This window comes from Homo sapiens, chromosome 16 (assembly GCF_000001405.40).
Source record: "Homo sapiens chromosome 16, GRCh38.p14 Primary Assembly".
Lineage (NCBI taxonomy): Eukaryota > Metazoa > Chordata > Mammalia > Primates > Hominidae > Homo > Homo sapiens.
In genome coordinates this window covers 75,701,468-75,726,657 of record NC_000016.10, presented here as the reverse complement: position 1 = coordinate 75,726,657, position 25,190 = coordinate 75,701,468, and the positions used below count along the sequence as shown (strand labels likewise).

General features: G+C 42.5%; 1 protein-coding gene and 1 pseudogene across 1 annotated transcript; both read left to right on the top strand.

Annotated features, from left to right (window-relative positions):
• Positions 168-12,527, top strand: CPHXL (cytoplasmic polyadenylated homeobox like). The gene is made up of 3 exons (NM_001355613.1): positions 168-240; positions 8,200-8,393; positions 11,436-12,527. Exons 1-3 carry the CDS (start codon positions 216-218, stop codon positions 12,432-12,434), a joined length of 1,218 nt encoding a protein of 405 aa, NP_001342542.1. The 5' UTR covers positions 168-215; the 3' UTR covers positions 12,435-12,527.
• ATP5PBP7 (ATP synthase peripheral stalk-membrane subunit b pseudogene 7) lies at positions 16,793-17,799 on the top strand (annotated as a pseudogene).

The following is a 25,190-nucleotide window of genomic DNA, read 5'->3' as shown; positions in this document are numbered from 1 at the left end:
ACCTAGTACGATCTGTACTTCCACTTAATCTAATTACTTCAAGTTTCTTTCTGCAGGTGTTAAATATTTAATGAGGGGATTAAATTGAAAGCTATTTAAGAAAGGGGCGGGTCATCTTGACCCTATATAAAGCCTGTGTCTTTAGGAGCTGCTCAGTTGCTTGCTGATCTCAGTTGCTTGCTGGTCTCCGTGAAGTCCAGGTCTTCTACCCCAAGATGAATTTGGACGGCACTTCAGGTGGTAAGTTCCCATCAGCTTTTTCTCTTACAATGCTACTTCCCTTGCTTTTTCTCAATAGTGTGTCAAAGTTTAAAGCACAAACACAGAGGTACAGATTGTTGGAGCAGCAGCTGTTTTTCACCGGTAAATTGTGTTAGGGCATTCATGGGTACTTTGAAGTTGGACTCTTGAATTTCAAATGTAAAATGGCAGCCGTGAGTCCCATACAAGGATCATCTACCTAAAGTCAACACTTTAAGTGGAGAAAAGAATGTATGAACTACCTAATGCATCCTGTAGAATTTTATTAAGATGTATTACTTTCCATTACAAAGTACCAGTTCTTGTGTATCTTTCTTAACCTCAATTGTTCCACAAGTTTTACCTCTTTCATTAATTTTCATTAATTTTCCTCTTCCCTACTGCTTCCTCTTTTGGTAATTTTGTACATTTTCAGTAAATTCTTTCTTTGGAAACTTAGGTCATCGATTATAATTTTCTAATATGTACATTTAAGTGTTTATCCAATTTAGTATGACTGGCTGTATGCCTAAAGTAAAAATACAGAGTAATAATAAAACAAGGAGGCCAAAGCAGGGGGATCAATTGAACCCAGGAGTTTGAAACCAGCCCAGGCAACATAGCAAGGTTGCCTAAAAAAAAAAAAAAAAAAAAAAAAAAAAAAGACGCCGGGCACGGTGGCTCACTCCTGTAATCCCAGCACTTTGTGAGGCCGAGGCGGGTGGATCACGAGGTCAGGATATTGAGACCATCCTGGCTAACACGGTGAAACCCCGTCTCTACTAAAAATACAAAAAATTAGCAGGGTGTGGTGGCGGGCGCCTGTAGTCCCAGCTACTTGGGAGGCTGAGGCAGGAGAATGGCGTGAACCCGGGAGGCGGAGCTTGCAGTGAGCCGAGATGGTGCCGCTGCACTCCAGCCTGGGCGACAGAGCGAGAGTCCGTCTCAAAAAAAAAAAAAAAAGAGGAAGCCACAGTGGTGCCTATGTGTAGTCCCAGCTACTACAAAAGTTGAGGTGCAAGAATAGCTTGAACCCAGTAGGCGGAGATTGCAGTGAGCTGAGAGCACGCCACTGCATTCCAGCCTAGGCGACAGAGGGAGACTGTCTCAAAAATAAAGAAAAAAAGAAAGTTTTTTTTATTATTATACTTTAAGTTTTAGGGTACATGTGCACAATGTGCAGGTTAGTTACATATATATACATGTGCCATGTTGGTGTGCTGCACCCATTAACTCGTCATTTAACATTAGGCACATCTCCTAATGCTATCCCTCCCCCCTCCCCCGACCCCACAACAGGCCCGGGTGTGTGATGTTCCCCTTCCTGTGTCCATGTGTTCTCACTGTTCAATTTCCACCTATGAGTGAGAACAAGCGGTGTTTGGTTTTTTGTCCTTGTGATAGTTTGCTGAGAATGATGGTTTCCAGCTTCATCCATGTCCCTACAAAGGACATGAACTCATCATTTTTTATGGCTGCATAGTATTCTGTGGTATATATGTGCCACATTTTCTTAATCCAGTCTATCATTGTTGGACATTTGGCTTGGTTCCAAGTCTTTGCTATTGTGAATAGTGCTGCTATAAACATACGTGTGCATGTGTCTTTATAGCAGCATGATTTATAATCCTTTGGGTATATACCCAGTAATGGGATGGCTGGGTCAAATGGCATTTCTAGTTCTAGATCCCTGAGGAATCGCCACACTGACTTCCACAATGGTTGAACTACTTTACAGTCCCACCAACAGTATAAAAGTGTTCCTATTTCTCCACATCCTCTCCAGCACCTGTTGTTTCCTGACTTTGGAATGATCGCCATTCTAACTGGTGTGAGATGGTATCTCATTGTGGTTTTGATTTGCATTTCTCTGATGGCCAGTGATGATGAGCATTTTTTCATTTGTCTTTTGGCTGCATAAATGTCTTCTTTTGAGAAGTGTCTGTTCATATCCTTCACCCACTTGTTGATGGGGTTGTTTGTTTTTTTCTTGTAAATTTGTTTGAGTTCATTGTAGATTCTGGATATTAGCCCTTTGTCAGATGGATAGATTGCAAAAATTTTCTCCCATTCTGTAGGTTGCCTGTTCACTCTGATGGTAGTTCCTTTTACTGTGCAGAAGCTCTTTAGTTTAATTAGATCCCATTTGTCAATTTTGGCTTTCGTTGCCATTGCTTTTGGTGTTTTAGACATGAAGTCCTTGCCCATGCCTATGTCCTGAATGGTATTGCCTAGGTTTTCTTCTAGGGTTTTTATGGTTTTAGGTCTAACATTTAAGTGTTTAATCCATCTTGAATTAATTTTTGTATAAAGTGTAAGGAAGGGATCCAGTTTCAGCTTTCTACTTATGGCTAGCCAACTTTCCCAGCACCATTTATTAAATAGGGAATCCTTTCCCCATTTCTTGTTTGTGTCAAGTTTGTCAAAGATCAGATGGTTGTAGATATGTGGCATTATTTCTGAGGGCTCTCTTTTGTTGCATTGGTCTATACCTCTGTTTTGGTACCAGTACCATGCTGTTTTGGTACCAGTACCATGCTGTTTTGGTTACTGTAGCCTTGTAGTATAGTTTGAAGTCAGGTAGCATGATGCCTCCAGCTTTGTTCTTTTGGCTTAGGATTGACTTGGCAATGTGGGCTCTTTTTTGGTTCCATATGAACTTTAAAGTAGTTTTTTCCAATTCTGTGAAGAAAGTCATTGGTAGCTTGATGGGGATGGCATTGAATCTATAAATTACCTTGGGTAGTATGGCCATTTTTATGATATTGATTCTTCCTACCCATGAGCATGGAATGTTCTTCCATTTGTTTGTATCCTCTTTTATTTCATTGAGCAGTGGTTTGTAGTTCTCCTTGAAGAGGTCCTTCACATCCCTTGTAAGTTGAATTCCTAGGTATTTTATTCTCTTTGAAGCAACTGCAAATGGGAGTTCACTCATGATTTGGCTCTCTGTTTGTCTGTTATTGGTGTATAAGAATGCTTGTGATTTTTGCACATTGATTTTGTATCCTGAGACTTTGCTGAAGTTGCTTATCAGCTTAAGGAGATTTTGGGCTGAGACGATGGGGTTTTCTAGATATACAATCATGTCATCTGCAAACAGGGACAATTTGACTTCCTCTTTTCCTAATTGAATACCCTTTATTTCTTTCTCCTGCCTGATTGCCCTGGCCAGAACTTCCAACACTACATTGAATAGGAGTGGTGAGAGAGGGCATCCCTGTCTTGTGCCAGTTTTCAAAGGGAATGCTTCCAGTTTTTGCCCATTCAGTATGATATTGGCTGTGGGTTTGTCATAATTAGCTCTTATTATTTTGAGATACATCCCATCAATACCTAATTTATTGAGAGTTTTTAGCATGAAGGAGTGTTGAATTTTGTCAAAGGCCTTTTCTGCGTCTATTGAGATAATCATGTGGTTTTTGTCATTGGTTCTGTTTATATGCTGGATTACGTTTATTGATTTTCGTATGTTGAACCAGCCTTGCATCCCAGGGATGAAGCCCACTTGATCATGGTGGATGAGCTTTTTCATGTGCTGCTGGATTCAGTTTGCTAGTATTTTATTGAGGATTTTTGCATCAATGTTCATCAGGGATATTGGTCTAAAATTCTCTTTTTGTTGTGTCTCTGCCAGGCTTTGGTATCAGGATGATACTGGCCTCATAAAATGAGTTAGGGAGGATTCCCTCTTTTTCTATTGATTGGAATAGTTTCAGAAAGAATGTTACTAGCTCTTCCTTGCACCTCTGGTAGAATTCGGCTGTGAATCCGTCTGGTCCTGGACTTTTTTTGGTTGGTAAGCTATTATTGCCTCAATTTCAGAGCCTGTTATTGGTCTATTCAGAGATTCAGCTTCTTCCTGGTTTAGTCTTGGGAGGGTGTATGTGTCTAGGAATTTATCCATTTCTTCTAGATTTTCTAGTTTACTTGTGTAGAGGTGTTTATAGTATTCTCTGATGGTAGTTTGTATTTCTGTGGGATCAGTGATGATATCCCCTTTATCACTTTTTATTGTGTCTATTTGATTCTTCTCTCTTTTCTTCTTTATTAGTCTTGCTAGCAATCTATCAATTTTATTGATCTTTTCAAAAAGCCAGGTCCTGGATTCATTGATTTTTTTGAAGGTTTTTTTGTGTCTCTATTTCCTTCAGTTCTGCTCTGATCTTAGTTATTTCTTGCCTTCTGCTAGCTTTTGAATGTGTTTCCTCTTGCTTCTCTAGTTCTTTTCATTGTGATGTTAGGGTGTCAATTTTAGATCTTTCCTGCTTTCTCTTGTGGGCATTTAGTGCTCTAAATTTCCCTCTACACACTGCTTTGAATGTGTCCCAGAGATTCTGGTATGTTGGGTCTTTGTTCTCATTGGTTTCAAAGAACATCTTTGTTTCTGCCTTCATTTCGTTTTGTACCCAGTAGTCATTCAGGAGCAGGTTGTTCAGTTTCCATGTAATTGAGCAGTTTTGAGTGAGTTTCTTAATCCTGAGTTCTAGTTTGATTGCACTGTGGTCTGAGAGACAGTTTGTTATAATTTCTGTTCTTTCACATTTGCTGAGGAGTGCTTTACTTCCAGCTAATGTGGTCAATTTTGGAATAGGTGTGGTGTGGTGCTGAGAAGAATGTATATTCTGTTGATTTGGGGTGGAGAGTTCTGTAGATGTCTATTAGGTCCGCTTGGTGCAGAGCTGAGTTCAATTCTTGGATATCCTTGTTAACTTTCTGTCTCATTGATCTTTCTAATGTTGACAGTGGGATATTAAAGTCTCCCATTATTATTCTGTGGGAGTCTAAGTCTCTTTGTAGGTCTCTAAGGACTTGCTTTATGAATCTGGGTGCTCCTGTATTGGGTGCATATATATTTAGGATAGTTAGCTTTTCTTGTTGAATTGATCCCTTTGCCATTATGTAATGGCCTTCTTTGTCTCTTTTGATCTTTGTTGGTTTAAAGTCTGTTTTATCCGAGACTAGGATTGCAACCCCTGCCTTTTTTTGTTTTCCATTTGCTTGGTAGAACTTCCTCCATCCCTTTATTTTGAGCCTATGTGTGTCTCTGCACGTGAGATGTGTTTCCTGAATACAGCACACTGATGGGTCTTGACTCTTTATCCAATTTGCCAGTGTGTGTCTTTTAATTGGAGCATTTAGCCCATTTACATTTAAGGTTAATATTGTTATGTGTGAATTTGATCCTGTCATTATGATGTTAGCTGGTTATTTTGCCCCTTAGTTCATGCAGTTTCTTCCTAGCCTCGATGGTCTTAACAATTGAGCATGTTTTTGCAGTGGCTGGTACCAGTTTTTCCTTTCCATGTTAAGTGCTTCCTTCAGGAGCTCTTTTAGGGCAGGCCTGGTGGTGACAAAATCTCTCAGCATTTGCTTGTCTGTAGAGGATTTTATTTCTCCTTCACTTATGAAGCTTAGTTTGGCTGGATATGAAATTCTGGTTGAAAATTCTTTTCTTTAAGAATATTGAATATTGGCCCCCACTCTCTTCTGGCTTGTAGAGTTTCTGCTGAGAGATCCGCTGTTAGTCTGATAGGCTTCCCTTTGTGGGTAACCCGACCTTTCTCTCTGGCTGCCCTTCCCATTTTTTCCTTCATTTCAACTTTGGTGAATCTGACAATTATGTGTCTTGGAGTTGCTCTTCTTGAGGAGTATCTTTGTGGTGTTCTCTGTATTTCCTGAATGTGAATGTTGGCCTGCCTTGCTAGATTGGGGAAGTTCTCCTGGATAATATCCTGCAGAGTGTTTTCCAACTTGGTTCCATTCTCTCTGTGACTTTCAGGTCCACCAATCAGACGTAGATTTGGTCTTTTCACATAGTCCCATATTTCTTGGAGGCTTTGTTTGTTTCTTTTTATTCTTTTTTCTCTAAACTTCTCTTCTTGCTTCATTGCATTCCTTTGATCTTCCATCACTGATGCCCTTTCTTCCAGTTGATCGAATCGGCTACTGAGGCTTGTGCATTCGTCATGTAGTTCTCGTGCCGTGGTTTTCAGCTCCATCAGGTCCTTTAACGACTTCCCTGCTTTGGTTATTCTACTTAGCCATTCATCTAATTTTTTTTCAAGGTTTTTAACTTCTTTGCCATGGGTTCAAACTTCCTCCTTTAGCTCGGAGTAGTTTGATCGTCTGAAGCCTTCTTCTCTCAACTCGTCAAAGTCATTCTCCATCCAGCTTTGTTCAATTGCTGGTGAGGAGCTGCGTTCCTTTGGAGGAGGAGAGGCACTCTGATTTTTAGAGTTTCCGGTTTTTCTGTTCTGTTTTTTCCCCATCTTTGTGGTTTTGTCTACCTTTGGTCTTTGATGATGGTGACATACAGATGGGGTTTTAGTGTGGATGTCCTTTCTGTTTGTTAGTTTTCCTTCTAACAGTCAGGACCCTCAGCTACAGGTCTGTTGGAGTTTGCCGGAGGTCCACTCCAGACCCTGTTTGACTGGGTATCAGCAGCAGAGGCTGCAGAACAGCAGATATTGGTGAGCAGCAAATGTTGCTGCCTGATCGTTCCTCTAGAAGTTTTGTCTCGGAGGAGTACCCGGCCGTGTGAGGTGTCAGTCTGCCCCTACTGGGGGGTGTCTCCCAGTTAGGCTACTCAGGGGTCAGGGACCCACTTGAGGAGGCAGTCTGTCCGTTCTCAGATCTCCAGCTGCGTGCTGGGAGAACCGCTACTCTCTTCAAAGCTGTCAGACAGGGACATTTAAGTCTGAAGATGATTCTGCTGCCTTTTATTTGGCTGTTCCCTGCCCCCGGAGGTGGAGTCTAGAGAGGCAGGCAGGCCTCCTTGAGCTGCAGTGGGCTCCACCCAGTTTGAGCTTCCTGGCAGCTTTTTTTACCTAAGCAAGCCTGGGTAATGACAGGCGCCCCTCCTCCAGGCTCGCTGCCACCCTGCAGTTTGATCTCACACTGCTGTGCTAGCAGTGAGCGAGGCTCCATGGGCGTAGGACCCTCTGAGCCAGGCGCAGCATATAATCTCCTGGTGTGCCGTTTGCTAAGACCATTGGAAAAGCGCAGTATTAGGGTGGGAGTGACCTGATTTTCCTGGTGCCGTCTGTCACCCCTTTCTTTCACTAGGAAAGGGAATTCCCTGACCCCTTGCACTTCCCAAGTGAGGCGATGCCTCACCCTGCTTCGGCTCATGCTCGGTGCCCTGCACCCACTCTCCTGTACCCACTTCCCAACACTCCCCAGTGAGATGAACCCAGTACCTCAGTTGGAAATGGAGAAATCACCTGTCTTCTGTGTTGCTCACGCTGGGAGCTGTAGACTGTAGCTGTTCCTATTTGGCCATCTTGGCTCAAAAGAAATATTTAATTGAAATATAGCATGCATGCCAAAAATAGCAAATATTTATACATGTTTAATTTAACTAATGTTCACAAATCAACTACACTCGTGGAACTCAGCACTCAGATAAAGAAAACTTAGTGGCACCCAGAGGCCTCTGTTCGCTCACTTTCAGGCTCCCGATTCCATTCCCTCAGTAGCCCATGTCCTGCCTTCCAATCAGTATAGATCAGTTTTTCCTGTTTTACCTTACGGTGATGAAATAATAAAATATTCTTCTGCAATTAGTTCTAATTTTAAATATAAATTCTCAAATCCAGATAGTAAATATGTTAGGCTGTGTCGACCCTAGACACATTGGAGCCTCAACTACTAAGCCTGCTGTTGTGGCTTGAAAACAGCCATAGGCAATGCATAAGTGAATGAATGTGATGGTGTTTCGATAAAACTCTATTTACAAAAACAGGCAACTGGGTGGATCTGGCCCATAGGCCTAGAGTTAGCCAATTCCTGCTTTCATTTGTAATTTTATTATTGTGAGTAGCTATGAGGTCACACGTGGATTTCATCTTGGGAAGGGGAGGGAATCTATGGTGCTAACACTGTTGGGAACTCTTCTTTGGTCTGGTTATTACCAATATTCTCTAATGCCCTTCTCGCTACTTATACTTTTGTCAGGTTTCCCAGCTGAAGAGGATCATCATAATGAAGAAAGACAAACAAAGAATAAAAGAAAAACAAAACACCGACATAAATTTTCTGAAGAATTACTGCAGGAACTTAAGGAAATATTTGGAGAGAACTGTTATCCCGATTACACAACTAGGAAAACACTGGCCATCAAATTTGATTGTCCGGTAAATGTGATAGATGTAAGTTCAAGACCTCATATGTATATTTCCTAGATTTTTTTTTTTTTAGACAAGGTCTCACTCCTATCACACAGGCAGATGCACAGTGGCATGATCACGGCTCACTGCAGCCTCCATTTTCCAGGCTCAGGTGATTCCCCCACCTCAGTCCCCTGAGTAGCTGGGACTACAGGCACACACCACCCCGCCAGGCTTTTATGTTTTGTAAAAAATGGGGTCTCACCATGTTGCCCAGGCTGGTCTTGAACTCCTGGGGTCAAGAGATCTACCCACCTCAGCATCCCAAAGTCCTGGGGTTACAAGCGTGAGTCACCACATCCAGCTGTTCCATATAAAATTAAAGGGCAATAAGTACAGATGGAGGTAGAATGCAGGGGATTGGATAGGAAGGTACAGAATTCGAAGAAATGGGAAAGTGCAATCAAAATACATATGTATATACAGTTAATCCTCCATCTCCACTGGGTCCACATGCACAGATTTAACTAACCACAAATGAAAAATATTTGGAAAGTTAAAAAATGAAAATAAGATGGGCGCTGTGGCTGATGCTTCCAGCCCTGATCATACCACTGCATTCCAGCCTGTGTGACAGAATGAGACCCTGTTTCAAAAAAAATGTGAGAGGAGGTTGCAGGTGTGGGGGTGGGGAGCAAATAACAATACAAAAATTTTAAAATGATACAAATGTTAAAACAATACAGAATAAGAAATATTTATGTAGCATTTGTGTTATATTAGGTATCAGGTATTGTAAGTCATCTAGAGATGGTTTAAAGCATATGAGAGAATGTGCATAGTATATATGCAAATACTACACCGTTTTATATATATGAGGGCCTGAGACATCCTCAAACGTTGGTATCCATAACCAGTTTGAGAGAAAATTGTACACATGCACATAACAATATGAAAAATGTAAAGAATTAAGCAGTATATAGCATTTCATCGCATAAGAAAATAGTATTATGTACTTGTGAAAATACAGTGAGTATGTATTGTAAAAACTAGACTGCAGTGAGGCAAATTTGGAAGCAGTGGATGAGTTGATGCTGCTGTAGTTAGTGGTGGTGACGGTGGTTTGGGCCAGCTTGCTAGCTGTGCAGGTGGATGGTACTAATGAGACTGTAGATGTTTGAGATGGAGCTGACAAAGTTTACTATGTGTGGGTTATGCTGTGAAAGGTAAGGTGGACTCAAAGGTTACTTGGACGTTTGACTTAAGTCTATGGAAGATGAAAGTTGCCTTTTACTAAGGAGGGGACCTAGGGAGGGACAGGTGTGTCAGAGAAATCAAAGTTTACATTTTGGACACATGAAGTTTCATATGTCAGATAAACATCCAAGTGGAAACACTAAGTGAACAGTTGAATATGCAATTCTGAAGGGTTGGGAGAGCACTTAGCTAAGATATAAATCTGAGAGTTGTCTACTAATGAACTGACTGTTGGGTGGGTAGCCCCTAGTAGCTTCAGGATGAAAGCTGGAAAGATCCAGGCAGGATTAGAAAATTGAGACTTTCAACCCCACCCTCCAACTTCTGGAGAGGAGGTGGAGCTGAAGGTTAAGTTGATCACCAATAGCCAATGGCTTAATCAATCATGACCATACAATAAAGCCTCCAGAAAAAAAACAAAGACACTGAGTTTGAAGAGGGTCCAGATACTTGAACGTGTGGAAGTTCCTGGAGGTGGCTTATCCAGGGAGGGCAGGAAAGCTCTGCATCCCTTCCCCCATATCTCACCCTATGCATCTCTTCATCTGTATCTTTTGTAATATCCTTTCTAATCAACTGGTAAACCTAAGTGTTTCACTTAGTTCTGTGAGCCACTCTGGCAAGTTAATCAAACCCAGAGAGGAGGTCAGCAGGAGCCCTGACCTGAAGCCAGTCAGCCAAAAGTTTCAGAAGCCCAGACTTGCAACTGGCATCTGAAGGAGGGGCAGACTTGCAGGACTGAGCCCTCGACCTGTGGGATCTGACAGTATTTCCAGGTACATAGTGTCAGAATTGAATTGAAGGACACCCACCTGGTGTGCACTACAGAACTGACTGTTTGCCTGGTGTGTGGAAAAACACATTTGCTCACACAAGCCTTTCTCTGTTGATTGTTGTGGTGTGAGAGCAGAGGAAAAATGTTTTTTTTTTTCCCTCAGAGAGTCATACAACAAATAGATGGTCAAGAAGTTATTCAAACAATTGCACTCTTTAGTTGTAACCCGTGAACCAATGCATGTCAGAATTATGTACATATAAGAAACAGAAATGTGGGCCAGATGTGGTGGCTCATGCCTGTAATCCCAGCACTTTGGGAGGCTGAGGCGGGCAGATCACCTGAGGTCAGGAGTTCGAGACCAGCCTGGCCAACATAGCGAAACCCCGTCTCTACTAAAAATACAAAAAAAATTAGCCGGGCATGGTGGTGCTCCTGTAATTCCAGCTACTCGGGAGGCTGAGGTAGGAAAATCACTTGAATCCAGGAGGCGGAGGTTGCAGTGAGCTGAGATCACACCATTGCACTCCAGCCAGGGCAACAAGAGCAAAACTCTGTCCAAAAAAAAAAAAGTGAAGAAAAGGAACAGAAATGTGTATGTCAGAAAATACACCACTAATTCTCCTTGGCGGGAGAGTATGAGTAAAGTAGCAGGGTTGTGTGAACTATGCATGACTAGGTGGGACAGCTGGGAGCCTCTTCTGTAGCACAGAGTGGGTCTCTTAGTGAACATGCAGGAGAACATTGCAAATGGGTCACAAACAGGTTGGGGAGAGATTCTGGGAAGCCAAGGTTCACATGTAAACCATGGTGTCAATGTCTCCAGTGAAGGAGGTTATGGTTCTAGAAATGCGCAATGCATGACCTGTGTTATCACATGTACCTCTAGGACAGATTGCCTTTATTATTTATATGCTTTAATGTCAGCAGGCAAGTCAGGGACTCTGCTTGGAAGAGGCTTAAATAGAAAAATCCTCCTACATTAAGGAATGCATATAAGAATATATTCAGATAAGTAGAGTCAATAAAACAATATTATCTTTTCTCTCTAGAATTGGTTCCAGAATAAAAGAGCCAGACTTCCACCTGCAGAAAGACGCAGAATATTTGTTCTTCAGAAAAAGCATGATTTTCCAGTCCAAGCCCATTCATTTTTAAGCTGCCAGGAGACCCAGGCTGCAGCTCACAACTATGCCACCAAGCAGAGCCTCTCTGGTGCCCAGAGGGCTCTGATGAGAAGAGCTGGTTGCTCCCATCTGGAGAAACAGTGGATTCCCAGTCAAGAAATGGGCTATAATTGTTTCTCTTTGGAGAACCAAGAGACTCCCAGTCAACAGGTGGGCCCCCAGTGCTCTTATCTGGAGAAACCAGGGATTCCCAGTCAACAGGTGGGTTCCCAGTGCTCCTATCTGGAGAAACTAGGGATTCCCAGTCAACAGGTGGCCTCCCAGAGTTCCTATCTGGTCACAGGCACTGAAAAGCATCCAGGCTGTGCTATGGGGTATGGAGGTGACACAGGAAGTGGGCATTCTGGAAGTGGGCATTCTACTGCCTATCATTTTCTCAGCTACAACTCTGCAGAATGCCTTCATCCTCCCCCATCTTCTGTGCCATATTTTCATGGAGAAAGGACTGAAACCAAGGAAAGCCAGCATGCAAGTCCTTTCCTTTTGGATTACGCTCAAGGTGCATATGGGGTGAAGAAAGACCATTGTCTTTGCTCATTCTGTCTCTCACTGCTGGGACAACAGCAGCAGAATGATTGGCAGTATCACCTGCAGCAGCACCAACAGCCTCAGAATTACTTAGAGGGGATGATGTTGCAGGAACAGCTCCCAATGGACTCGGGTCCTTGGGATCTAGGGAAGCAGTGGTCCTCGGCTCAGTCACAGCTGCAGAGTCAACTGCCTCAGAATAATGGAAAGCCGTTGTGCTCTCAACTGCAGCACATGTCTCTCCAAATAGCTGCCGACTCACCCCTTCTGCCTCTGGGGCAAGATATGCAGGAAAGGGCTTCAGAGCAACCCAGGACCCAAATGCAGCAACTTTAAGTTGAAGAGTGGACAAGGGTCTGCAGCAGGGAACCAAGGATGCAACTCTGCAAAGTAGTGCTAAGTGTCAGAGAAACACAGTCGCAGGTCAGGCCCACAGTCACCCACACAGTAGCACAAGGCAGAGCCCTTACCAGAAGCCTCCACATTAAGAAAAGAAAGAAAGAAAGAAAGAAAAAAGCCAGGTGACATTGTTTGAGCCCAGGAGTTCAAGAAAAGCCTGGGCAACATGGTGAGTCCCTGTCTCTATAAAAAAACTTTTTAAAAAATTAGCTGGGCATGATGGTGTGCTCCTGTGGTCCCAGCTACTCAGGAGGCTGAGGTGGGAGGATCACTTGAGCCCAGCAGTTTGAGACCAGCCAGGGCAATATTGGAAGATCCCATCTCTACAGAAAAATAAAAAAAAATAAAAAATTTAGCCAGGCATAGTGGCTTGTGCCTATGGTCCCAGCTACTTCAGAGGCTGAAGTGAAAGGATCACTTGAACCTCAGAGGTGGAGGCTGCAGTGAGCCGTGATCATTCCACTACACTCCAGCCGGGGTGACAGAGTAAGACCCTGTCTATGAAAAATTAAAAAGAAGAAGAAAAATAAGACTGTCTACAGGAAGGCTCCATGAGCTCTTGGTCCCTTCTCATACAGAAGCGGTGTCCACATGTGTTACAGCTCCTGAGCTCCTGACCATATAGTTTACAGTGGCCTTGAAAAGACTGACTCCATAGAATATGGATTGAAAAACCAACGAGCACAAAGATTGCAGGAGCACTGCTCAAATCACATCATGCAAAGTCTAATGACATTTTGCCTTCAGAAGAAGGAGGCTCTTGCCCAGCCCTTCAGGCATTGTTCCCCTGAGAGGCAATATAGCCAACAAGAACAGAGTAACCACAAAGCCCCACAGCAGTGACAATTGGATGGGGGATTCTAAAGGCTACTCTTGCAAAACTCTCTCCTCCATGGACCAGAGCAGTATCTGCAGGTTGTGAAGCGTGGCCTACCAGGACCCAGCTGTATCTCCTCAGCAGCCAGCCCCACCGAAGAAGCTCTGCCTGTGAAGGGTGCTGCAGCAACATCAGCCTGGCCTTTGCACATCTCAAAGTCAGCCCAGTATAAAGGCAGGAGCTTTTAATTGAAAGGCATTTAAAGACACAGTACATAAAGCCAGGCACAATGGCTCACACCTGTAATCTTAGCACTTTGGGAAGCCAGGGCAGGAAGATCTCTCTGAGCCCAGGGATTCAAGACCAGCCTGGGTACCATGGCAAGATCTTGTCTCTAGAAAAAGGAAGAAAAAAAAAACCATGCAAGAGGACCTGAAAATCCTCAGGAAGATGCTGTGCTGAAGCAGCCCCCACCAGCCCTCTTAGCTGACAGCTGCTGCCCAGGAATCCAGAGTGTTGTGACCAAGTCATCTAGGGATGTGATGCCAAGGCCAACAAACATCTGAAATACCCAGGTGAGTCTCTGAATGCCAGGTGCTGACCTGATTTTTTTTTAGAAAAGATCAAGTGTCTTTGAACCTCTAGGTCTTTTTAATAGTTTTGAGCTTTGACATGTAGAATTATTTCTCAAAGATTCCAGAGTTTTGTCAAATAAAGCATATATTGTAATATTAATTAGGCAACTTGCTTTAAAAGCTGAAATTTCCCACCAATTCTCTCTCTATTTGATGTGTCCTACATAGAAATTCTTCCAAGTGTTCCAAAGAATATACAGCTATAGAAACACAGTATATCAAGTTGACTGATGAAGAATCAAAATAAAGTATAAAGTAATAAGCTAGCACAGTTAATAAGAATGAACTAGATCTATAGATACATGTGAGATTTATGAGGCACAATGTTTCATTCTTTTTTCCAGAGCAGGAGTGGATATTTATTTAAAAGGGCTTTAGAACAGGAAAGAAAGGAAAGTAAGTTTGGAAGAAACCTAAGTTGGGACATGAAGGTCAAGTGTGGTCTTTAACCTTGATCTTAGGACTTTATAGGCTGACCCCTTTTCCATGATTCTTCTCTTAGGGCAGTCTGTCCACATGTGCAGTGCCTTCCTTCTGCTTGAAAAATAAGCACACAAAGTGTGTTTAGGAAGTTGTATATGTACCAATCTGAGGTTTTTCTTCCCCTTTCTGGTGGAGTGTCCCCAGGACATATTCCACTGTTTTGTCTCTTGATGCACATGCCCTGGAAGTTGCTCCTCCCTGGCATCTGCATTCAATTAACACTTTAGTGTAACAGGTATGGACCATCAGAAAATGGCCTCTCCCTGGCCCTGGCAGCCAGTTTATCACCTTTACAGAGGCGATGTGATACTTGCTGAACCATCACCTGACTTTCCTAGGGGGTGGGGGAGAGCCCTCTCCTGCCTGGCTCATGCCTGTCTAACTACCTGTAAAATTTTCCCCCTCAAGAGCCCAAGACCTCAGATCTTTGAAGGAAATTAGACAAAGTTCAGTCTTCTGTAACTGCTTCCCACTGACAAAGGGGCTGTGGTGGTTCTGCAGGTCTTGGCCTCTTGCTAGCTGTCAGGGCAGCAGGGTGACTCCATGGGTTGGTGAAAGTGGTATCTAGCAAGGTCTAAGGGAGACAGGGGCAGGAGTTTGCCTTCCTGTCCCACTGATGGGCAGTCTAGGGGTCCCATGTAGAGGGGTGCCTCTTGAATATTGAGAGGACAGTATCCCACACTGATCTGAAGCTTGATGGCCTGAAGGCAACAGGAGACAAATCATGTTACTAGATTTAGAAGACATGGACCAAAGTAAAATAAGGGAATGAGGACAGCTCCAAAAAATTGAGGCTGCCAACACACCCAGGTAACTGGTGGCCATGGTCCTGCCTGCTAAGACTTGGGCTGCCAACTTATTTCAGTGTGCCCAGAACTCGAATATTGGTGCAGATTTCTAAATAACCCATCTCCTTTGTTTCTTCTGACCTGCAGCGAGGGATCGCTGGTTGGTTCACAGAAATAAGCAGGGTTAGGCTAAAATGCAGACAAAAACTTAAAAACAACTAATGACGTTAGAATGTAATAGTAGGTGTACCATAAATTGTGAAACATAGGTTTTCTCTTTACAATCCTCCTTTTTATTAAAATCAGGATAGGAATGATTTGTTTGCAAAATAAACTTTAGTCTTATTATATTTGGCCTGATTGTTTGCATAAAGTGCAGCAAGGATAATTATTTTTACATAGGCTTTTAAAATTGGCTTCGATGGAACTCCGTTCCATAAGAAATCTCAGATAAGACATTTTAAAAGCCAAGCACAGCCATGGGTTTGTACCCTCAAATACCTGTGAGGAGGGTAGATTTCTCTCCTCTGAGGTCTCTAGAAAACTTGGGGCACCTGGGCCTGTTAGACAGTGACATTCTTTACTCACCACAGGTTAGGTCCCTGTACAGGGACTGTGTAGACAAGTTATGAGGCCTGACTCCCCAAGGGACTTGTATTGGCACTATAAGTCAAGCTTGATTCCTTAAAGGAAAGCATGCCATTCCAGTCAAAGCCCTGGTAAAACAGCCAGTTTCTCCCATGGTGTACTGTTGCAAAAGAAAACATTCTAATTGCACTTATGCCAATAACTATATTGCCACGCATTAAGAATACTCACAAATAGTTTCCAAATTCTGGAGAAATCAGGTAAAGAGAAACAAATATGTGAAATTTTTGTTCACAGGAGTATACTGAATTGTGAAAAGCTGTAGTAAATAGCTCAAAAGAAAAGTTTTCTTGGCTCTGAAAAACAAAGATTTTGCAAAAAGTCAAAAAGATTACTTCACTCTTCTATTAGTTCAGTCCATTCAGTTAACTCTCATTCTGCTTGATATTCATGAACATTTACACTGTAATATATGTATCCGCTTGGCTATCTGCTTTTAATTAAGCTGACTTTTAACCATAGCGCTCTTAAAAAAATGCTCTTACATCTCTTATTACCCTACTTTATCCAGGCCAAACGAACAATATTTCTGGCCTTTGAACATTATCAAAAGTAACCTCACAGGTGAAACCAATAAGTCTTAACTAAGGTTATGACTTAACCATGAGCATATGAGGTATTTTTAAAGAGGTGGTAAGGAGTTTTTAAAACATTTAAAGTCTCCAGAGGTAGCTCAGAGAAAGGAAAATTCAAGAAGGGAAGTCAGAAGTCATTCATGGAGGGGCAGAGAATACGGTGATTTTTACCATTCCTACAACTGGTTTGCATAGAGAGAGAGAGGCCTGAAGTCTGACTGGTAAAAATTTTTATGCTTTTGCCGGCATGCCAGGCTTCTGGGTTCCCTTTCCCTGATGAGCCCTAGTGACCCTGGAGTCCTGTGAAGGGGGCGCAGATAAAGAGGTTATCTGCATACTGCAGAAGTTATCTCCCCTCTCACAGGGATGCTAAGATTGCTGCCTGGACCTTCACTGACCATGCTGTCCTGGGTGGTACTTTTTGCTGCCACCACAGTGGCCCTCTCTCTGAAGAATGCAGCCTTCCTAGGTCCAGGGGTATTGCAGGCAACAAGGACATTTCACACAGTGCAGCCACACCTTGCCCTTCTACCACCTCTTCCTGAATACGGAGGAAAAGTTCATCCTGGACTGATCCCTGAGGAATTCTTCCTGTTTCTTTATCCTAAAGCTGGTGTAACAGGACTCTATGTGCTCGGAATTGGGCTTATTTTGTATGCTTTATCCAAAGAAATATATGTGATTACCACAGAGACCTTCTCTACCATATCAGTAGTAGGGTTACTTGTCTATGCAATTAAAAAATATGGTGCCTCTCTTGCAGAATTTGCTGATAAACTCAATGAGCAAAAACTTGTCCAACTAGAAGAGGCGAAGCAGGCTTCCATCAAACAAATCCAGGATGCAACTGATTTGGAGAAGTCACAGCAGGTACTGCCATTACTTTTTGATGTGCAGAGGAAAAACATTCCTATGGCTTCAGAGTTTACTTACCAGGAACAGCTGTATAGAGTACATAAGGAAGTAAAGAATTGCCTAGACTATCATATATCCGTGCAGAACATGATGCATCAAAAGGAACAAGAGCACATTATAAATTGGGTGGAGAAGCATGTGGTTCAGAGCATCTCTGCACAGTAGGAAAAAGGAGACAATTCCCAAGTGCATTACAGACCTAAAGCTGCTGGCAAAGAAGGCTCAAGCACAGCCAGTTATGTAAAGGTATCTATCCCAATTGAGACAGCTAGAAACAGTTGACTGACTAAATGGAAGGTAGTCTATGTGACAAAATATTTCTGTATTGGTGTCTACTGAAGTTATAGTTTACCTCTCCTAAAAATGAAAAGTTTATTTCATACAGTGAGAGAATTAATATATCAGCCAGTTAGATGTTTCTCATCCTTCTTACTCTGCATTTGAGTTGTTCCCTGATCACTTCTGAATAAGCAGTTTGCCTTTATTAAAACTTGCTGCCTGACTAAAGATTACCAGGTTATAGTTTAAATTTGTAATTCAACCATCTTGCAATAAAGCGACAATTGAATGAAAAAAAAAAGAAGTTATCCCCCCTGAAGAGACTGCTCAGTTAGATTTTTTTTGCTAGGGCTTTTCTGAATAAGTGTGGGATATTTCTAAACCTCTGAGGTAAGACTATCTAGGTTGAAGCTATTAGTTAATGATTTAGGTAGCTTTTCTGGGAGAAATAGGGCTATTAGAAAGATGTATTCAGAGGACAGGTAAATATTAAGTGAGCACTGATCTTGGAGATTATATGTTTGCCCCAAAGAGGTATGAGGTATTTAGACATTACCAAGGACCAGTGGGAGAATGGTAATTGGTCCCTTAAGTAATAAAAAGGGGTGTTAATCTTTTATTTGAGGGGAAGGGATGCCATTTGCCCTACCCAACAGGCTTAGCCCTGTTCTTCCTCTTCTGCTCTCAGTTATGAAAGACTGAAGAGGCTAATCTGAGGACTTCCTGCACAGGGGCACTGGGTTCCAAGGCTGACTTTTGTAATTTTCTCCTAGTTCATTTATAAGCCAAACAGTTTAAGGTTTGGGGAAATTAAACTTTTCCCACTTTTAGGGGATGCATCCAAGGGGCGTGTCCTGTGGTATGAAGACATAACTACCCATCTGGGAAGAGAGAACAGAGGAGGAAGAAAGGAAAAAGAAAACAGAAGGCATCCCCCCTTTCTTCTGTTATCCTGAAGGGGGTGTTTCCCATCATCCTGGGTTCCGGACTTAACCAGTCTTTACCATCTACCCTTAGTAACCATCTCATCACAATTACCCACTTGAGAACAGTGGGCCCTTGTCCATCCCTGGGATTCTGGAATTAACTAGTCCTTACCAGAGACACAATGTTTAATTTTAAAGCAAGTTGCCTAATTAATGTATGGTACAATAATTATCAAAATGAAACAAAGTAAAGCTTGCTATTAATTATTCTTGAATACACATAAATATATGCATACACACATAGTAAAAATATTTCTAAAAATATAGTTAGATATTGTGTTGATATTCTTTAAATTACTGAAAGTTGAATTTGGACAAGATAAGAAAGAATAGCTTTTCTCCTCTGTTATGAAACTGAGAAATAAAAATAAAATTTTAAGAGCCCAACCTACTGAACAGACCACGTCTTAACCAAGGGGACCTAAGAGTTAACCTAGAAAACTGAGTTCTCGGCCATGACAGGATGGGAAGTCAGACACAGCTCGTTAATACCTGCTCTTTCACTGACCATCATTAAGCTTTCTTCTGTAAGAGCTAAACAGAAACCAGCCCTTTCAAAAGATTCCGCCATTGTGTCAACTGCTTGACTGCTCTCCCTTCTTTTAGCAGTTTCAACATAACAACTGATGAGCTTTTCTTCCTGATGAGAGACCACCAACCATGGAATGATTCTGGCCAGTCTATGACGAATGCCCAGTGAGGGTTTTTGTGTCTCTACTTCACCTTTGGATGTCAAAGAGCACAACACTCCACCCTGGGATCACGCTGATGCCGCCGTTTTTTGAACGTGGGTCCTACGGAGAGGCATGAAGCTCAATTGCATATATATTTGTTTCTCTTCATAAATATGCATTATTTTTTCTATAGCTCATTGAATATGTATATCTGGCCATCCCATTCAGCATAAATTCCTGTCTTATTCTTTGGACCCTTGAAGTGTCTATTCCTAGTTTCTGGCTGGGGAGCTATGCTTCCCAGCTTGTCAGAACGGCCACCCTGCAGGCTATAATCCTTTATGAAAAACAAAGCTCTCCTTTCCATATTTATGAACCTTATTCTTCAGTTGACAAAACATAGCATATATCAACAGAAATTTGAAAAAAACAGTCAATCTGTGGATTCACTGGATTTTGTATGCACACAATCACACCATCTGCCAATAAAAGTATTCTTATTTATTTCCAATACTTCTACTTTGATTTTCTTCCTAACTATTTGGCTGAGAACTGCAGTAAAATACTAAATTGGGGTAGAAACAACATCATTGCCACATCTCCAAGCTTCACATTAGGTATATCTCCAAATATGTATTACCAAATAGGGGCTTAAGGGGTTCCCTTTTATTTCTATTGTTCTCAGCTTCTTCCCTCAAAAATCCAAAGTCTCTCTGAATTTTTAAGTTTTTAAATGTTTTCATCTGTTGTGATGATGGTATTATTTTTCTTCCATAATCTGTTCATGTGATTATTTTAAAACATTGTGATTTTAGAAAAATCCAACTAGCTTATGACATACCCTTTTTATGTATTTCTAGATTAGAGGTGCCAGTAGTTTAAGATTTTGGTATCTATGTTCATGACTGATATTGGCTTCATTTATTCCTTTATTAAATGCTTGAAATTTAAAGTGACTCTGCCTGGCTCTGACATTATTTTCATGGAAACATTGTTAACTACTGATTCTGTACTTTAAACAATTAGAAGACAACCGTTTATCTTTAGATCAGTTTTGGGAAGTTGAAATTTTCTAAGAATATATCCATTTCATCTAAATCTTCAAATGTATTATCAAATCACTCCAACATCCTCTTAACTTTTTCATTCCTAGGGCATATGTAGCAGCGTACTGTTTGTAATGTTTCATATTTGGACTTTCTATGTCTGTTCTTGATTGTTTGCCAGATATTTGTTCTCTCAAACAACCAATGTCTGCAGGAAAGACCATAGTGACCTCAAGGCTCCTTGTGGGCATGACTTTCTGGGGCAGTGGGGGCTGCTGAGGGCCAGGGGGCCTGTCTGTTTAGGGTCCTGGGCCTCTCCCAGGTGGCTCAGGTGTCCCAGCTTCTGTCAGTCCTCTGAGCCCGAGCTAAGCCATCATATCCCCTGTGACCTGCAAGTATACCTCCAGATGGCCTGGAGCAACTGAAGATCCACAAAAGAAGTGAAAATAACCTTAACTGATGATATTCCACCCTTGTGATTTGTTTCTGCCCCACCCTAACTGATCAATGTACTTTGTAATCTCTCCCACCCTTAAGAAGGTTCTTTGTAATCTCCCCCATCCTTAAGAAGGTTCTTTGTAATTCTCCCCACCCTTGAGAATGTACTTGGTGAGATCCACCCCCTGCCCACAAAACATTGCTCCTAACTCCACCACCTATCCCAAAACCTATAAGAACTAATGATAATCCCACCACCCTTTGCTGACTCTCTTTTTGGACTCAGCCTGCCTGCACCCAGGTGAAATAAACAGCCTTGTTGCTCACACAAAGCCTGTTTGGTGGTCTCTTCACACGGATGTGCGTGACAGCTCCCGCCAGCAGGTGCCCACATCCCCTAGCCACTGAGGGCCTCTGTGAAAAGGCGTCTGCACGTTTCAGGGAGGCCCTGACACTGCACAAAGGATTCCTGAGGCCCTGGGACTCAGGCTAAGCAAGGACTTAGTTAAGAGCGAGTCATGTCGCAGGCTTGCGTGCAGCAAGATCCCAGTTTCCTCCACAAAGACAATCGCTCACAGGAAGGCCCAGAGGCCCCAAAAAGCCCCTTTTACTTGTGTCCTCCTCAGACTTCTAGTGCCTAAAAACCCAGGGAGGGGAAGCCTCAAGGTTGAGGTCCCGGATCCAACAAGGCATGTTCCAGTCCTGGTCACGTGGACACTAAAGCCTTAGGAGACAGAAATAGGGACTCAAGCTCAGGGGTCAAAATCAGGATTTAACCCTTGGAGGGCTGTCATGGCCTGAATTCTGCCCAATCCCCCATTCATACGATTCATATGTTGAAGTCCAAACCCCTAGTACCTTCAAATGTGAGGGTGTTTGGAGATAGGGCCTTCAAAGAGGTAATTAAGGTAAAATTGTAATAACCAGTTGGGTTTATCTTGCCTGCTGCCCAGAAAGCCAGATGCCCTGAGAACAACAGGTATTACAGCAAAGAAAGAGGTTAATCATCACAGGGCCAGCCAGGTGAGAACAAGGAGAAACTTCTCAAACCCATCTCCCTGATAATTCCGAGGCCAGGGCTTTTTAGGATATTTTGGCCGGCAGGGTGCTGAGAAACAATTGATGAAATCACAGGGGTGTGTAAAACTGTCTTTATGCAGCTGAGTTAGTTTCTGGGAGGGCGGTCTCACAGACCAGGAGGGGCTTTTGATCTGCTAAAGTGCCAAATCTGAAAAATATCTCACACACTCATTCTTTGAGTTTTACATTTGCAATGCTATTTATAGGGGTAGCTGGGGAAGTTATAAATTTTGTAACCCCTGGCTACGTGACTCCAGAGCACTCAACACTTATAGAAAAACAAGCTGATTGATGGCAGGTTATTGGTTAACTATGCCTATTTTTTAGAAAATTAGGCCGGGCGTGGTGGCTCACGCCTGTAATCCCAGCACTTTGGGAGGCTAAGGCAGGCGGATCACGAGGTCAGGATATTGAGACCATCCTGGCAAACATGGTGAAACCCTGTCTCTAATAAAAATACAAAAAAATTAGCCAGGCATGGTGGTGAGCACCTGTAGTCCCAGCTACTCAGGAGGCTGAGCCAGGAGAATGGCGTGAACCCAGGAGGCAGCAGAGCTTGCAGTGAGCGGAGATCACGCCACTGCACTCCAGCCTGGGCGACAGAGCAAGACTCCGTCTCAAAAAAAAAAGAAAAGAAAAGAAAAGAAAAGTTTAAGTCCCTGCCATAATTTTAACCTTGTCTTATGAATGTTGCTTTAACCTCCGAATTGGCGGGGGCAAGAAGTGGAAGGGCTCAGTTTTTCTTGCCTCATGTTTAATTATAAACTAAATATTTTTCATGGTTATCTATGAGAACTCTGTGTTAGAAAAAGGAAAAAAAAAAAGGATGGGGGGGGGGGCCTGTCAGGTTAGAAGCAAGTTGAAGTCTGTCATATTAGATTATTCTTATTATCATTCTGCAAAAGGCTGGGCACAGTGGCTCAGTCCTTTAATCCCTGTACCTTGGCCTGGCCAAAACCACTTTTAAACACTCAAACTATACAGCAAAAAATCATTAATAAAAATGTTGACCAGGCTGGGCATGGTGGTTCACACCTGTAATCCCAACACTTTGGGAGGCCGAAGCAGATGTATCATCTGAGGCCAGGAGTTCGAGACCAGCTTGGCCATCATGGTGAAACCCCGTCTCTACTGAAAATACAAAAATTAGCCTGGTGTGGTGGCACAAGTCTGTAATCCCAACTACTCGGAAGGCTGAGGCTGGAAAGTCGCTTGAACCTGGCAGATGGAGATTGCAGTGGGCAGAGACTGAGTCACTGCACTCCAGCCTGAGTCACAGAGCCATACTTCATCTCAAAAAAAAAAAAAAGAAAATGTTGGCCAGAAATAGTGGCTAATGCCTATAATCCCAGCACTTTCAGAGGCCAAGGCAGGGGGATCACTTTAGCCCTGGAGTTTGAGGCTCCAGTGACAGAGCCAGTCCCTGTCTCTAAAAAAAGAAAAATAATGCTATATTAGAAACTATTCATTTAATGCAAAAGAAAGCAGTAAATGTCAGGCCTCTGAGCCCAAGCTAAGCCATCATATCCCCTGTGACCTGCACGTATACATCCAGATGGCCAGAAGCAACTGAAGATCCACAAAACAAGTGAAAATAGCCTTAACTGATGACATTCCACCATTGTGATTCGTTTCTGTCCCACCCTAACTGATCAATGTACTTTGTAATCTCCCCCATCCTTAAGAAGGTTCTTTGTAATTCTCCCCACCCTTGAGAATGTACTTTGTGAGATCCACCCCCTGCCCACAAAACATTTCTCCTAATCCACCGCCTATCCCAAAACCTATAAGAACTAACGATAATCCCACCACCCTTTGCTCACTCTCTTTTCAGACTCAGCCCACCTGCACCCAGGTGAAATAAACAGCCTTGTTGCTCACACAAAGCCTGCTTGGTGGTCTCTTCACACGGATGCGCATGACAGTAATTATGATTTTGGGCACATCAACATCTGTATCATTCAGGGTTCCATCAGAGAAACAATCAGTAGTGTTCCGAGGTCAGCTATTAACTAGTGAACTATATATAATATATGTGTGTATGCCTGTGTGTGTTTATATTATAAATATATAGGTATCTATACACATACACACTTGTACATATATATATATAAAGACATATATATGCCTTAGTCCATTCAGGCTGCTATAACAAAATACCATAGACTGGCTAGCTTATCAACAACAGAAATTTATTTCTCATAGTTCTGGAGACTGGGAAGTACAATCAGGTTAGGTGTCTGGTGAGGACCCACTTCCTAGTAGACAGTCATTTTCTCACTCTAACCTCACGTGGCAGAAGGATCACAGGGATCTCCCTCTCTCCCTCCCTGTCTGCTCTCTTTGATAAAGACACTAATCCCCTTCATGAGGACTCCACCCTCATGACTTAGTCACTATCCAAAGGCCCCACCTCCTAATACCATTACCTTGGTGGTGAAGATTTCGACATATGAATTTTGAGGCTACATAAACATTCAGGCCACAGCAATACAAAACTCACTTCTATAATTGTAGGGTCTGGGTAGGCAGGAATAAATTCTGTAGGGTAGGCCCTTCAGAAAAGCAGGTGGAAACTCCTAAAACAGCAGATGAAGCAGCTGAGCACTTACGGAATTTTTTTAAATTTTTACATAAATAAGGTCTTCCTGCGTTTCCCAGGCTGAAATTTAACTCCTGGGCTCAAGCGATCCTGCTGCCTCAGCCTCCCAAAGTGCTGGGATTCCAGGCTTGAGTCACCACCCCCAGCTAGATGTGATTTCCACCACCCCCACCCTCCCAAGATGTGATTTCCACCACCCCCACCCTCCAGGGCAACCTCAGCTTTGCTCTTTAACTGATTGACCTTTAACTGATAGAAAATAACCCACCCAGATTATCCAGGATAATCTCATTTACTGAAAGCCAACTGATTATATAACCCAATCACGTCTGCAAAATACCTTCATCGCAATGCTTAGATTCGTGTTTTATTGAAAAAATAGGGAGCGTAGAGCAGCCAAGTTGACACACAGATAGCACCATCGCAATGCTGAAAAGACATGAGTTTCAGAAGAGCCGAGGAAAACAAAAAATGCAAAGTAAGGTAAGGACATTCTTATAATGTAGAAACTAATATGGCCAAACTGAAATAATTAAACAAGAGTCATATTTAGAAAGGTATTATGAAGAAGACAAAATCACCACGTAGAATCTGTACTTCCACTTAATCTAATTACTTCAAGTTTCTTTCTACAGGTGTTAAATATTTAATGAGGGGATTAAATTGAAAGCTATTTAAGAAAGGGGCGGGTCACCTTGACCCTATATAAAGCCTGTGTCTTTGAGAG